Source organism: Homo sapiens, chromosome 3 (assembly GCF_000001405.40).
Source record: "Homo sapiens chromosome 3, GRCh38.p14 Primary Assembly".
Taxonomy (NCBI): Eukaryota; Metazoa; Chordata; class Mammalia; order Primates; family Hominidae; genus Homo; species Homo sapiens.
The window spans coordinates 178,084,614-178,101,395 of NC_000003.12; the positions used below are offsets into that span (position 1 = coordinate 178,084,614).

Consider the following 16,782-nt stretch of genomic DNA (forward strand, 5'->3'; position numbering starts at 1 on the left):
ATAATGGTAAGCAGTAGAAGCTTACTCTTCATATTCACATTGCACTTTTCAAATAACAACTGTAACATTTCTTGCTCAAGTCCTCAAAGCTCAGAAATAGTTATATTCGAAGTCTGTGCCAACCAAATGGATGTATTAAATACATTGCTGGCTAAAAGCCATCGAAAAACTCTCTTTTCATTTTTCCTTCACCCTTCTCTCTATCTATGCAAGAAAGACCTAGGCACCATGGTGCAAAATTCTACTATAATATCACTCTTGGAATTACCTGGCTTTGGAACATTGTACATAATAGTTCTAATGTAACAGCAAGAAATTTCCTCCTCCTGTTTATTTTTCTGAAGCTGTAATAAGCAATCCTGTGTGACATTGCCTGTGGTGCGGTTGCCAGGCAGCAGAAAGAGATCTGCAGCAGGAGGCGGGAGAGCGGGGGAAGAGAGAAGAGAAAAGCAAGAGAGGAGGAGGGGGGAGGGCTGAGCAAGTTGGGGGCTGGGCTCTCAAACTGCTGAGCCAGAATTCCATCTCCTTGTCATCCTTCATGTTCCAGGCACATAATGAGCCAATAAGCTGGGCCTTAGAGGGGAAATAAAGATGGAAAAAAAACAGTTGAATGTTGTCATTAAATAGGGTGTCAATAATGTGTTTTTATTTTGTGAAGAAAGGGTTTCAGCTTTTTTTTTTTTCTCATGAACTTTGCTTCCTGGTAAATGCAGCTGTACAAATATTAAAGGGACAGCTTCTCAGTGGGCCTGCTTTGCTCTAAAACAACAAACAATTAACACATAACATCTTCCAGCACCGTGCATGGAGAACATACAGTTATAACCTGAAAGGTTTCAACTCCTCCCAAATCTCATGGTGTGGAAAAGTAAATCACAGAGAAAAGGTACTCCACCCTTTATTGAACATGCAGTACTGAGACACAGCTTTGTACCTGAGAGCTGAGAGGTTGTTCAAGCTATTTCAAGAAGCTGGTCTCCTCATTGTGAGGCTTTCTTTAGTTTGTGAAATTGGGAGCTGCAGCTAAATCTCATCTCTTGGCTTTACAAGAATCTTGTTCTAATGAGATTAAAATGATAGGACTGGGATCCGAGCAGAAGTGGTGAGGGCAGATGGCACACAGGTCCCTCCATGCCGGCTTGGATGTCCCCCAGCACAATGCATGGTGCCTTTTGCCAGCCTTCCAAGCTGTCTGTGACTGGATTGGACACTCTCCAGTGGTAACAGACAATGATTTTTATTTAGATGTTTGATTATTCTTACTAATCAAATAGAAAAAGAACAGAAGGTTTGTTCAAAACAAACAATGTATTTACAGATAGTTTTGTGTGGTGGATGCACATTTCAAGGCTCTGAAGTTGTTAGTTCTCTCAGAAGACTCAAACTCACCATGTGGGAGAGAAAATGGGACAAAGCATGTTAAAATGGCAAGATGATCAGAAAGCACTTGGAATTAATGTAATGATGACTAAGTTTCTTTTTTCACCTCAGCAATGGGAGTGAGAAAAAGGGAATGTTAAATTAGGATGATCAACTCTGAGAATTTTGAGGAATAACATATGGGAATCCCGTTTCCATCCCCGCTGCATATCCAGGCATATTTCTTCTGTGCAGAGACTGACTTTCCAGTCCCTTCTAAGGTCATGAATGAGTCAATCAAGGATAATCAGTGATTTTTTGCAGATTCTAGGAGGAAGATAATGTGTCAGAAGAACAGTACTCTTTGGCATATACCACATAAAGAGAGAAGCAGAGACAGATAGGGGATTAAGCAGACAGATGGAATGATAAGAATAAGCAAGCAAACCAAGTCCACCAAGAACCAGGGCTAGGTGCAGGACCAATCACACTCTGCTGTTTTTTAGAAGGCTAACACTTTTTCCTAAGGAACTGCAAAATATTTACAGACACTTGACAGTTTTCTAGGTAGCACAGTTGGAATACGGACACTCAAGCTCTCCAGAACATCCTGTGATTGAAGTTTTGTCTATACTGAACAGCAGGAGGAACTAATCAGGGAAGCTGCTGGTTTGCCTGACCACACTGGTTAACGACAGTCTCCACAGAGCCTCCCTTGGAGCTAGAGATGAAATATCACACTATTTCATGCGAAACTTCACTTTTAATCAAAGCAAGAGGAAAAAATCTTCTAGAGTCCCATAGTTGTGCCACAATAGGAATTTCTACCAAAGTCTACAATCATTCTTCGTTTTTCACTCTTTAAACATTTATCTATCGTAATTTAGTTTTTATTTTATCAAAGTTATGCATGATTTACAAGATATTAATGAGACTTTTGTTAGTTTCCTTTTAGATCTCAATGTTGATAGATGATAAATGATAGGACACCAACATTCTAATGGGAAAAGATAAACCATCTATACAGGACTTTTAAAGAGGTGGTCAACATCCAATATTGTGACCCTGTGCCTAGATACAAGAGACTTCTCAGATAATGAAAGACCATTTTTTGTCTCTTGTTATGTGACCATCTAATGTGAAAGCTCTAGCGTTATCCTTTCATTTACTCATTCTTCTCTATCTCAAGCCAGGTAGAAGGATTCCATGGGATTTATGTCATTGTGGGAATGGGACATGAGAGAATTCTGGGGAAAACTGACCTGTGTCTCCTGAGGTTTGGGAAGCCGTGAGTTCCAAGAGCAGCTGCATTTGGCATCATATTTGTCCAGAGTCTTGGACCACGAAGAAAATAACACAAGAGGAAAGAAAACAGCTAAGTTACTGACTTTCTGTGGCTAAGACAAAGGTTCTGGACCAATTGAAATTCAAAGTGAAATACATCTGGTGTATTTAATTCAGTCAGAATAGATTAGATAGATTCCATTTTCTACATGCTGATAACACCTAGGGAAGGACTGAGGAATGGAAGATCAAACACACAACCTCCTTATAAACACACCTCTGTGCAGCATTTATAATGTACACACAATAGCCAGCATATCTTTCCTCATAAGGTTTGGATTGTTGAAAAGGTGTTAAAGCAATTTACAATGGGGTTGTGATTTTTATTTGCAGTGCAAATAGGAAAGGACTTTTGATGCAAAACCTTGTCAATGCAGAAGCAAGGCATTATTTTCATGGTAGGAAAGATAAAGAAAAATAGAATCTGCATCTCCCTTTGAAGAATCTAGCCCTAGCTGCCAAGGAAAGCAAAATAACAGAACAAATAGATTCCTGTGAGAGGATAAGCACCTTTTCGATCCTGGGAGCTTTGTCATTTTTCAAAACTAGTACATTTTTCATAGTTTGCCACAGTGATCTTCAAGTAGATAAATGGATATAGTCAGAAGCAAGTTAATTCCCATCCAGTTCCTTTTTAAGGATAACAGATAACTTCAAAGAGAAGTGGCACAAAGAAATGGTAGATGAAGAAAATAAAAGCACAGTCTGAAAATGAAGGGGTTCAGAAACCAATTGAAATAAAGCATGGCTTTAAACGATTTCTTAAATTATTCACATGTCACATTATTGGAAAAGCAATGGTTTCTCTCAGCCATTTCTTCCTAAATGTTTTGCTTTTGTTTCCAGAAATAACAGGTTTAATTAAGTGTGCAATATATACTCAAGCAATCCAGACTAATGCACACAGGACTTTTGAAATCACTTAGAAGATTTTAGGAGAGATTTGGATTTGCCATGTTCGGATGCTAATGGAGAAAGCTGGTCTTCAGGGAAAGGGCATGCATGAGTTGTGTATGGCTTTGTCAGTGCTGTCAAAGCTAGTTATTACATTATTAGGAAAAAATGGTTTTGAAAATAGCAAACATTAAGCAAACTGGAAATAAAACTAAGCTTTGTTAAACTCCTTATATGTGTCAGGATAATTTCACATGCATTATTTCAATTAAATCTTAAAAAACTCAGAGGAAATGGATATCATTTCCCCATTTTTAAGATATGTAAGCCAAGACTTTGTGAAGGCTAAGGTTCTTTCAAACCCAAGGTGTCTGACGGCAAATCCAACCCCTTTTCAATTATATTTATTCATATCTCTATGCTAATGAAGATGCATTATCAGTAAATACTGTTTCTGATCAGGAGATCAAGATGTCTAGTAATGCATTAAAGGTGTTCTACCCATTTAATCTGGGATAATCATATCCTTAAACAGCCCAGTTAGAACACTTTTGTATGTTCATGTTTACAAAACAATGTCAAGCATTTAATATAATTCAGTAAGAATGGTCACAAAATGTTGACAGTATGATTTACTGAACTTGCATACAAATGCTAGTTTCAGGAACACAGAATTTTTTTCTATAAGAGGAAGAGAGAGAGTTGCAAATCAGTCAAGGCCACTGGAGCTAGCTCATTGCCTCAATATGTTGCTATTTATTTTGTGATTACAAATTTAAAGCAAACTAAATAAACGTCTTCAGCTTTAAAAGGTACAAGTGCATTATACATTTCATGACTAGCACTGTCTTTTTTCTATAAACTACAAAGGAAGATAATGAATGCAGTTGAGCACATACTGTGAGTAGGCTGGTCCAGCCTATATTTTATAGGCTGTGCAGAATAGCACCCTTGTAAATCAAATGGATGTTGAACATTGGACTTTGAGTCAGGAAACATGAGCTCTAGTCCTGATATCACTGTTGAGTAGGCCCATGAGGTTTTTCCAGTGAATTAGTCTGTTTTGGCTTCATTTTCCTAGATGTTTTGTATAAATGTACTTTTAATACATCTCAGCATTTATGAATATTTAGTAAGCACACACACATTGCCTGTTGAATTGACAAAATAAGAAATTGGGTTTGATTTTTTTCTAAAGTTTTATAATGTTCTAGATTTTTATTTGTTGAACATGTCCAGGTACTGGATTCTTTTAGAAGTTATTCCAAATAAAATACAAGAATAAGTGGGCTTTTCTGAGTTTTCTGCCAAGGACACAAGGCATGTCAAAGTCTTTCAGCTAAAGAAATGTGACTAGAAATAGGATATGATATGTTAAAAGAGGTCAGATTTAAAAATAAGCTAAAACATTTTCTAAGACTTCCCATTAATAACATGCTACATTTTAGAAAAGGCACTAGGCAAGGAATCAGCAGATACATGGAATTTATTAACTGTTTTAGCACTAAATACCTCAATAAATTTGGCTGTCCCTTATTCTGTCTGGCTCCTGGTTTTCTCAGCTGTGAAATGAACTGCAGCATTGTGCTGTAAAGGAATAATGAGGGTTAGGTCAAAACATCCAATAGTCAGTCAAGAAGAAGCAAGCATTTGGGGAAATCCATATAATAAAAAAGCACCATATTCAACCAAACAGAAAAACTGATACCCAAGTCATCAATGTAGCAAACAGAAGTGTGTGTGTGTGTTTCAAAATGTGTTTTTAAAAATTCTAGAAACTTGTCCCTCAGTGGCCAAGATGGCTGACTACAAGCAGCTAGGGTATGTGGCTCTCACAGAGAGGAATGAGAGGGTGGAGTAAATACAGCACCTTCAACTGAAACATCCAGGTACTTGTATTGGGACTAATCAAGGAAACAACTTGACCCACAGAGAACAGAAAGGCAAGGCAAAAGGATGGCCCACCCAGGAGTGACATGGAGCCAAGGGAACCTCCCCTGCCAGGGAAGTGGTAAGTGAACATGTGATCCTGGAAAACCACACTTCTCCCATGGACGCTTGCAACCCTTGGGTCAGGAGATCCTCTTGTGAACTCACTCCACCAGGGCCTTCAGTATGATATACACAGCTAGGTGGAGTCTTGGCAGATCAGCCATTTGTGCACACAGAGAGACCTAGGTGCTTTACATATTCCTGCTCTGGGCTTCCCAGCAAAAGTAACAGCAACTCCAGCAAAGTGGGAGGTTAGACCTCTGTACGTACCACTACGAAAGAGGCTGAATTCAGTGGGCTGAGCAGTGATGATCTGCGGGCCTCATTTCCACAACATCTCACAAGATAAAGCCCACAGTCTTGGAATTCCAGCCAGCTACCAGGAGCAGTGTTGCACCTACTTGGGGAAGAAATCAAGGGGTGGGGAGGAGCAGGACGCCATCTTAACTATTTGGAAAACTCAGCCATTCCAGCCTGTGGGTGGAAGGGATCTCCCAACATAGCACAGCTGCTCTACCAAAATGTAGCCAAACTGCTTCTTTAAGTAGTTCCCCAATATGTTTCTCCTCACTGAGTGGGACCCCCACCCTGAACTAGGACCCCTTAGCCACCCCTGCTGATGTTCTCTGGCCAAAAGAGATTTGAAAACTTCCTAGGACAGAGTTCTCAGAGGGATGAATGGGTCACAATCTTTCCTGTTTGGGTGACTTAGCCATTCCAGCCTCCAGGCTTTGGAGAGCCCAAGCTGACTGGGGGTGGAAGTTGTACTCCAGTACAGCACAGCTACTCTGTGAAAGTGTGCCCAGACTGCTTCTTTAAGCAGGTTCCCAATCCCATTCTGGCTGACTGAGTGAGATCACCTAACTAAGGTCTCCAGCCACCTCCTACAGGTGTGTTCAGGCTGGCAACAGGTCCATAGCTCCCTAGGATGGAGCTCCCAGAGAAAGGGGCAGGCTGCCATCTTTGCTGTCTCACAGCCTTCACTGGTGATCCCTCCAGGTACTGGAAAATCTGAGGTGACTAGGGACTGGAGTGGACCTCCAGCAAACCACAGCAGCCCTGTGGAAAAGTGGCCAGACCGTAAAAGAAAAAATAAAAATCGAAAGGTAAGCAATCTCAAAGATTGAAGGTAGATAAGCCTACAAAGATGAGAAAGAATCAATGCAAGAATGCTGAAAACTCAAAAGCCAGAGTGCTCGCTTTCCTCCAAATGACTGCATCAGTCATTTGGGTTCAGAACTGGGCTGAGGCTGAGATGGCTGAAATGACATAAGTAGAATTCAGAATATAGATAAAATCGAACTTCACTGAGCTAAAGGATCATGTTGTAACCCAATACAAGGAAGGTAAAAATCATAAAACATTGTGGGAGCTGACAGACAAAATAGCCAGCCTGAAGAAGAACACAACCAACCTGACAGAGCTGAAAAACACACTACAAGAACTTAATAATGTGATTACAAGTATTAATAGCAGAATAGACCAAGTGGATGAAAGAATCTCAGAGCTTGAAGACTAACTTTGTAAAATAAGACAGATATATAAGAATACAGAAAAAAGAATCAAAAAGAATGAACAAAACCTCCAAGAAATATGGGATTATGTAAAGAAACTGAATTTATGACTGATTGGCAGAGAATGGAACCAATTTGTAAAACATATTTCAAGATATCATCCATGAGAGCTATCTCAACCAAGCTAGACAGGCCAACATTCAATTCAGGAAATGCAGACAACCTCAGTAAGATACTCTATGAGAATATCATCCTTGAGACACATAATCATCAGATTCCCCAAGGTAAAAATGAAAGAAAAAATGTTAAGGGCAGCTAGAGAGAAAGGCCAGGTCACCTACAAAGGGAAACACATCAGACTAACAATGGACCTCTCAGCAGAAACCCTACAAGCCAGAAGAGATTGAGAGGCAATATTCAACATTCTTAAGAAAAAGAAATTCCAATCCAGAATTTTATATCTGGCCAAATTAAGCTTCATAAGCCAAGGAGAAATATGATCCTTTTCAGACAAGCAAATGCTGAGGGAATTCATTACCTCCAGACCTGCCTTACAAGAGCTCATAAAGGAAGCTTTAAATATAGAAAGTAAAGGCCATTACCAGCCTCTACAAAAGCATGTTTAAGGAGGCAGACCAGTGATACTATAAAGCAACCACATAAAGAAGTCTGCAGAATAACCAGCTAACATCATGATGATAGGATCAAATCCACACATATCAATACTAACCTTAAATGTAAATGGGCTAAGTGCTCCAATTAAAAGACACAGAGTGGCAAACTGGATAAAGAACCAAGACCCATTGGTATGCTGTCTTCAAGTGCCCCATCTCACATGCAATGACACATGTAGGCTCAAAATAAAGGGATGGAGAAAAATCTACCAAGAAAATGGAAAACAGAAAAAAGTAGAGGTTGCAATCTTAGTTTCCGACAAAACAGACTTTAAACCGACAAAGACAAAGAAGGGCATTACATAATGGCAAAGGGTTCAATTCAATAAAAATATCTGTCTATCCTAAATATACATGCACCCAACACAGGAGCACCTAGATTGATAAAGCAAGCTCTTAGAGACCTTCAAAAAGACAGACTCACACACAATAATAGTGAGATACTTCAGCACTTCACTGAAAATATTAGGGTGATCATCAAGACAGAAAATTAATAAAGATATTCAGAACCTGAACTCAGCACTTGATCAAATGGACCTGATAGATATTTGCAGAACTATCCATCCAAAAAGAGCAGAATATACATTCTTCTCATTGCCACATGGCATTTACTCTGAAATTGATTACAAAAATGGAAGTAAAACACTCCTAGGCAAATGCAAAATAACTATAATCATAATAATCTCTCAGACCACAGCACAATCAAATTAGAACTCAAGACTAAGAAATTCACTTCAAAACCATATAAAATTACATAAAAATTGAATAACCTACACCTGAATGACTTTTGGGTAAATAACAAAATTAAGGCAGAAATCAAGGAGTTATTTGAATCTAATAAGAACAAAAATACAATGTACTAGAATCTCTGGAACACAGCTAAGGTAGTGTTAAGAGGGAAATTTATAGCACTAACTGCCCACATTGAAAAGGTAGAAAGATCTCAAGTTAACAACCTAACATCAAAACTAAAAGAACTACAGAAGCAAGAACAAACAAATCCCAAAGATAGCAGAAGACAAGTAATAACCAAAATCAGAGCTAAACTGCAGGAGAAAGAGACACTAAAAACCATTAAAAGATCAATAAATCGAGGAGTTGGTTTTTTGAAAAAATTTAATAAAATAGACAGCCAGCTAGACTAATAAAGAAGAAAAGATAGAAGATTCAAATAAACACAATCAGAAAAATAAGGGGAATATTACCACTGATCTCACAGAAATATAAACAACTATCAGATAATATTATAAACAACTTTATGAACATAAACTAGAAAATGTAGAAGATATGGATAAATTCCTGGACACATACACTCTCCCGAGACTGAACCAGGAAGAAATTGAATCCCTGAACAGACCAATAATGAGTTCTGAAATTGAGGCAGTAATAAATAGCCTACCAACCAAAAAAAGCCCTGGACCAGATGGATTCACAGCTGAATTCTACAAGTTGTACAAGGAAAAAGCTGGTACCATTCCTACTGAAATGATTTAAAAAAAATCTTTTTTAAAGGAGGGACTTCTTCCTAACTTACTCTATGGAGCCAGCATCATCCTGATACCAAACCCTGGTAAAGAGAAAATGAAAGGAGAAAACTTCCGGCCAATATCCTTGATGAACATTGATGCAAAAATGCTCAACAAAATACTGGCAAACCAACTCCAGCAGCACATCAAAAAGCTTATACACTGCATTCAAGTAGGCTTCATCCCCAGATGCAAGGATGGTTCAATGTATGCAAATCAATAAATGTGATTCATCACATAAGCAGAACTAAAGACAAAAACCATATGATTATCCTAATAGAGGCATAAAAGGCCTTTGATAAAATTCAACATCACTTCATGTTAAAAACTCTTAATAAGCTAGGTACTGAAGGAACATATCTCAAAATAGTAAGACCCATACATTACAAACCCATAGCCAACATCATAATGAATAGTCAAAAGCTGGAAGCATTCCCCCTGAAAACTGGCACAATACAAGGAAGCCCTCTTTCACCACTCCTATTCAACATAGTATTGGAAGCTCTGGTCAAAGAAATCAGGCAAGACAAAGAAATAAAGGCATTCAAATAGGAAAAGAGGAAGCCAAACTATCCTGTTTGCAGGTGATATGATCCTATATCCAGAAAACCCCATTGTCTCAGCCCCAAAGCATTTTAAGCTGACAGACAACTTCAGCAGTCTCAGCATACAAAATCGACCTGCCAAAATCACTAGCATTTCTATACACTAAAAAGAGTCAAGCCAAGAGCCAAATCATGAACAAACTCCCATTCAGAATTGCAACAAAAAGCATAAAATACATAGGAATATAGCTAACTAGGGAGGTGAAAGATCTCTACAAGGAGAACTACAAACCACTGCTCAAAGAAAGCAGACATGACACAAACAAGTGGAAAAACATTCCATGCTCATGAACAGGAAGAATCAATATTGTTAAAATGGCCATACTGCCCAAAGCAACTTACAGATTCAATGCTATTCCCATTAAACCACCATTGTCATTCTCACAGGACTAGAAAAATAACTATTTTAAAAAGTGTATGGAACAAAAAATGAGCCTGAATGGCCAAGGCAATGCTAAGCAAAAAAACAAAGGTTGAGGCATCATGCTCTGACTTCAAACTATACTACACTGTTATGGTAACCAAAACAGCATGGTATTGGTACAAGAACAGATACGTGGACCAATGGAACAGCATAGAGAACCCAGAAGTAAGATTGCACACCTACAACTATCTGACCTTTGACAGACCTGACAAAAACAAGCAATGAGGAAAGGATTTTCTATTCAATAAATGGTACTTGGATAACTGGCTAGCCATATGCAGAAGACTAAAACTGGACCCCTTCCTTAAATCATATGCAAAAATGAATTCAAGATGGGTTAAGAATTAAATGTAAAACCCAAAACTATAAAAACCCTGGAAGACAACCAAAGCAATACCATTCAGGACATAGGTACAGGCAAAGATTTCATGAGAAAGCCACCAAAAGCAATTGCAACAAAAGCAAAAATTGATAAATGGGATCTAATTAAATGAGTTTCTTCACAGTAGAAGAAGCTATCTACAGAGTAAAAGACAACCTAAAGAGTGGGAGAAAAGTTTTGCAACCTATACATCTGACAAAGGTCTAATATCCAGCATCTATAAGGCTCTTAAATAAATATGCATGAAAACAAACCCCATAAAAAAGTGGCAAAGGACATAAATAGACACTTTCAAAAGAAGACATACATGCAAGCAGTCAACAATCATGTGAAAAAAAGCTTATCATCACTGACCATTAGAGAAATGCAAATCAAAACCGCAATGAGACACTTCTAACACCAGTCAGAATGGTTACTGTTAAAACGTCAAAAAATAACAGATGGTGGTCAGGTTGTAGAGAAAAAGGAACAGTTATACACTGTTGTTGGGAGTGTAAATTAGTTCAGCCATTGTGGAAGATAGCATGGCAATTCCTCAAAGACCTAAAGACAGAAATACCATTTGACCCAGAAATTACTGGGTATATACCAAAATAAATATTAATCATTCTATTATAAAGACACATGCACACATATGTTCATTGCAGCACTATCCACAATAGCAAAGGCATGCAATCAATCTAAAAGTCCATCAATGATAGACTGGATAAAGAAAATGTGGTATATACACACCATGGAATACTATGTAGGCAAAAAAAGAACTAAATCATGTCCTTTGCAAGGACATGGATGGAGCTAAAAGCCATTATTCTTAGCAAACTGATATAGTTTGGCTCTGTGTCCCCAACCAAATCTCATCTTGTAATTTCCATGTGTTATGGGAGGGAACTGGTGGGAGATGATTGAATTATTGAATTCCGGGGGCGGGTCTTTCCTGTGCTGTGATAGTGAATGGGTCTCATGAGATCTGATGGTTTTAAAAATGGGAGTTTCCCTGCACAAGCTTCTGTTCCTTGTGGCTGCCATGTAAGAAGTACCTTTTGCCTTCAGCCATGATTGTGAGGCCTCCCCAGCCACATGGAGCTGTGAGTCCAATAAACTTATTTCTTTTGTAAATTGCCCAGTCTCGGGTATGTCTTTATCAGCAGTATGAAAACAAACTAATACACAAACTAACACAGAAACAGAAAACCAAATACTGCACGTTCTCACTTGAAAGTGGGAGCTAAATGATGAGAACAAATGGACACACAGAGGGGAACAACACACACTGGGGACTTTTGGAGGGTGGAGGGTGGGAGGAGGGATAGGATCAGGAGAAATACTTAATGGGTACTAGACTTAGTACCTAGATGATGAAACAATCTGTACAACAAACCTCCATGACACAAGTTTATCTATGTAACAAACCTACACTTGTATCCCTAAACTTAAAATAAAGATTAAACAAAGAAAGGAAACTGGTCCCTACTGGGGAAGCTATTAGGATTGGATATTTGAGTAAAGGAATTTATGTAAAATGGATTTCCACATTTACAATTCATAATTTGCATAGTATGAATTATACCCAATAAGAATATATGCATTCATCACATTGTGTAATATTGTGACATTTGAAAATAATTTTAGACACATAAAGAAAGAAAAATAAAGTAAAAGAGGAAGGAAGGAAGGAAAGAAGGGGGGAGGGAGAGAGGAATGAAGGGAAGGAGAGAGGAAGGAAGGAAGGGAAGGAGAAAGGAAGGAAGGGAGGGAGAGAGGAAGGAAGGAAGGGAAAGAAATAAAGGAAAAAAATGTGGGTTACAGAGTCAGATAACACTGGGATTTATACTAACCCTATTACTTATTAGCTCTGTATATTTGAATAAGTTAATTAAGTTTTCCCGCCAAAGTTTTCTTATCTATAGGACAGAGATTAAAATAGGTACCTTACCATGTTGTTATAAGGATTAAAGATAATGTATGTAAAGCACCTGGAATATATTCAAAACTTAATAAAGTGCAATTGTTATATGAAGAAGATAGATGAGATAATCTTGGTTTTACTTTATGGATCAATGAAATGGATTCTTATTAGAATCCTTTATTACTGATACAACTTCTACTCCTCCTTCCCATCTCCCCAGTTAAAAAAGAAATTAGAGAACTGGAAAGAAGACTAAAAGGCAGTAATAGAATAGATGCTATTTCATTCTTCTTGTAGCTACAAAGCCTTCTCTGGTAGCTCTCTATATGTACTGCATGTAATAGAGAATGTGTAAAAGCTTTCAGGGTATTTGTTCTGAGAAAACTGCAGCCTAAAAAGCAGCAGATGGAAGAAGTAATGAAAGGATGTCTACAGACATTAGATAGTCTAGGATGCTTCCTAGAGGCAGATTTCAACATCCCATTGCACAATTCCATTCCTCCTCCTCATATCGCTTTCTGCCTTCTTTCCCCACTTCCCTTTGGAGATGAACTTGGCATGAAAGGAGAGAGGCTGTGATTTCAGGCAGCTGGTGGTGCAATGAGTCTCAGCCAAACCATCAAGATCAAACTGTGTAAAATCCCTTTCAATCTTTGAGGCAGTCCTGGCAGGAGAAGCAAATGCAGCACAACTGACAGCAAAGTGAAGAGTCAGGGGTATCCCACCTCCAGAAAACTATTGTCATGTGACTCAGAAGAAAGGCTGGAATTTTAGTGGAGGAAAGGAAAAATGGTTGAAATGTCAAGACCTATTTAATATACCGGGGACAAGTAGGTGTGTTTCTTTGGGTTTTTTTGTTTTGTTTTTTGTTTTTTTTGAGACAAGGTCTCGCTCTGTCACCCAGGCTGGAGTGCAGTGGCAGGATCTCGGCTCACTGCAAGCTCCGCCTCCTGGGTTCACGCCGTTCTCCTGCCTCAGCCTCCAGAGTAGCTGGGACTACAGGCGTGTGCCACCATGCCCAGCTAATTTTTTTGTATTTTTAGTAGAGACGGGGTTTCGCCATGTTAGCCAGGATGGTCTCGATCTCCTGACCTCGTGATCCACCTGCCTCGGCCTCCCGAAGTTTTATTTGGGTTTTAAAAAACCAACAAATGAAAATGGTTCAGAGATCTACTTAAGAAATGGAGATAATCCAGGTATATATATGGTGATTCACCTCTGCCACTCTTCTTGGTTAGGATTCCCGTTTGGGATTAAGATACATTATTAATCAAGTCTCTTATGATTTCTACTTACTTGGGGTCAGCCCTAGCTCATCTAGTATGTAAAGAAAAACACCCTGCTTCCTCTGGACAGTTGAGCCTCCGCTATGGAGCATGGCTGTGCAAGCAGAATAAGGGCTGGCTTTCAGCTCCACTTGCCCCTTTGGTCTGGCATCCTTGTTCAGTGAACAACTTGCACACTTATGTGTGGTAACCTTGCTCCCAAATATCAATTGACCTAGAACACATACCATGTTTCATGTAAGTAATTTGAGTCGTTCTCAAATTACTTACAGAAGGTCACACAGATAGTAACAGAGCCAAGATTTGAACCTAGGTTTGCATGGCTCGGGACCCCAATCCTTAACACTACACTCTACTCCCTTTGTAATAACAAGGTATAATTAAAATTCAAGCAATTTAAGGTAAAATAATAAAAATGTCAGTTACATATCTGAATAAGGAGAAAACACCTCTCTCTAAATCTCATTATGAACTCTTTTGAATTGCCAAAATAAAGGTCATCATTGTAAGTAATCATAACACATTGACATCTTACAGAGACTAAAAGGAATTCATAGAGCCTGCCTAGTGATGGACAGTGATTACAGTTTACGCTAGTTTCTAATGCAGGATTCAAATAGCTTTTTTTCTGCCATCATTGAGAAACTCAGTTGAATTGATCTTTAGTCCCTGAGTTAAGTACTTCTGTATGTCATCATCTTGGCCCCTGCATTGATTAAGACAGATATAAATCCTCCATGTGAGCTGTGTCTTAACTCTAGATCCAGGAAGGACAATGAGAGTACAAAATGAGCCGCTTGAATTGCAGAAATTTTTTTTTTACACCTTACCTCTTCATCACAACTAATTCTGACACTGAATTATTAAATAAGCTTTGAGGATATGAAGAAACGAGCCTCGGAAATTTTTTTTACATCCTAATTTCCAACCCAAGATCAAAGAAGCTTACTCAGCCAGAAAATAGTCAGATTGCTGGGACTATGTTTTAAAGTAATTCTCCATCTGGTCTGCTTTTGAAGGAGCAGTGAATTAATCACATGGAAGTGTAAGTTAACAGGAAGTATAAAGCTATCCACAAACAAACAAATAAATGAACACGCAAAACAAAAAAATCCACTTTATACACAAAATAGAAAGCAAAAGAATGGAGGTAACTGTAAGCAACTCCGTACCCTAAAACATCTTTTTTACATAAAATGGAAAATTTTAGAAAATGGAGTTTACCTTTTCTCGTGAAAATAGAGAATGATGTTTGCCAAATATTGTCAGTTCTCTACCCACTTGATATGTGACAAGATTGTACTTTCATTCTTGTGTAGTTGGGTAGATCCAGGTAACTAAATTGCACCAATGAAATCTGCTCAGAAGTGATCTGTGTTATTTGGGGGCTGAGCATTTAATTGAGTATGACTGAACTTGCAAAGCTCACATTTTACTCTAGCAAAGGACTGGCAATAACGTTTTCAATACTGGCTGATTCATCACTCTGAGTCCCTGTGTGGCTATAATGAGTAGGCCCTTACGGCCAACCCAAGATATTTAAGCACTAAAATATATGTTACTATAACTTTTACTGATAATATCTTTAATGAGTACTGTGCACACAAATCTAGTGCTGGCCAGATACAAAGATAAATATGTTGTAGTCTGGATTGCCAAGGCTGCTGGATATACCTTAAACTTTAGACCACTGACTTCAAATGCAAGGTTAAGTGGCTCCTATATTCATGGCATAATGTCACAGTTATTCAATGTAATTCTACTTTTATGTTTAAAAAATGTGAATGAATACATTACATAATGGAAGGAAATGCGCTAAAATTTAAATATGGACTTTACCGGGAAGTGACTTTTACTTTCTTCTACATTTGTTTTACCAGTTTTCTGTAATATTTATAAAAGCATGAATTACTTTTGTGATAAAAATTAAATTTTGGCTACACAAAAAGTAAACTTAAAAAAAGTTGATATCAGTTCTATTTTTTAGAATTTATGTAATTTTACTGAAGTATATAGATGTAGTATAATTCTCATTCCGGATTGTAGGACTAATCTTTCTAAACAAATCAGTCATATATAACATACTTTTTTAGTATCAACCTCACCCTATCCCATCTAGCTGCCAAAAGTGTTTTGTATTTCATTGTTTCAAAAGTGTTCTGGTGAGCAAAATCATGTACATGGAATACCTCACCAAACTCTGTCTTAGCAAGGCTGATTTCTTTCAGGTATGCTGCACAAATACACTTTTATGGCTCTTCACTTCATGCAGTCATCTTCAAGGACTTAGTATTTACTATGACCTCTTTCTCCTGTAAATATGGAAAATCCACTTCAGTTCCCACTGTCATTTTCAGTGATTTTAATAAATTACAAAAGTCTTATAAGACTCTTCCACCCATATCTTCCCCCAGTTCCCCACACTTTGCATTTCCTATTGCCTCTGGGCCTGAAGTTTCATTCATTTGAAAACTATTCTTGGAAAGATCTCCCCTCCTCCAGCTGTTAATCTGTCATTAAGGGACCATAAGTAATTCAGATATACTACACTATTATGCAACCTCAACAGAGTGGGAAAAATCATTTGCTTCACTGTCAATGTAAAAACTTTTATCTTCTTTGACAGTTTTATTTAGAAAACCTCAGCTTTATTTTAATTTGATTCTAATGATGGCTTTCAGAAAATGATTTGAGTAAGTAAAAGTTTAGTGCAATGACAGCTGTCATGATTTCTGTGGTGCTTTCTCTCAAGGAGTATTTATTGAAAAGATGCATTTGAAATACAATGCATCATTTTTGGCACAGTGGATGGAAGTTAATTATTCAGAGCTGGTAATGTGGTAGTATTTACTCAGTGGGGAATTTAAGTAAGAAAG

At 38.0% G+C, this 16,782-nt stretch overlaps 2 annotated features.

The window, feature by feature from the left end:
- Window positions 268–562: an enhancer, noted in NCBI's record as "tiled region #11026; K562 Activating non-DNase unmatched - State 24:Quies". NCBI's record gives its function as "activates a minimal TATA promoter and a strong SV40 promoter by Sharpr-MPRA in K562 cells {active_cell/tissue: K562}" and the evidence as "EXISTENCE:reporter gene assay evidence [ECO:0000049][PMID:27701403]".
- Window positions 268–562: a silencer, noted in NCBI's record as "tiled region #11026; HepG2 Repressive DNase matched - State 8:EnhW". NCBI's record gives its function as "represses a minimal TATA promoter and a strong SV40 promoter by Sharpr-MPRA in HepG2 cells {active_cell/tissue: HepG2}" and the evidence as "EXISTENCE:reporter gene assay evidence [ECO:0000049][PMID:27701403]".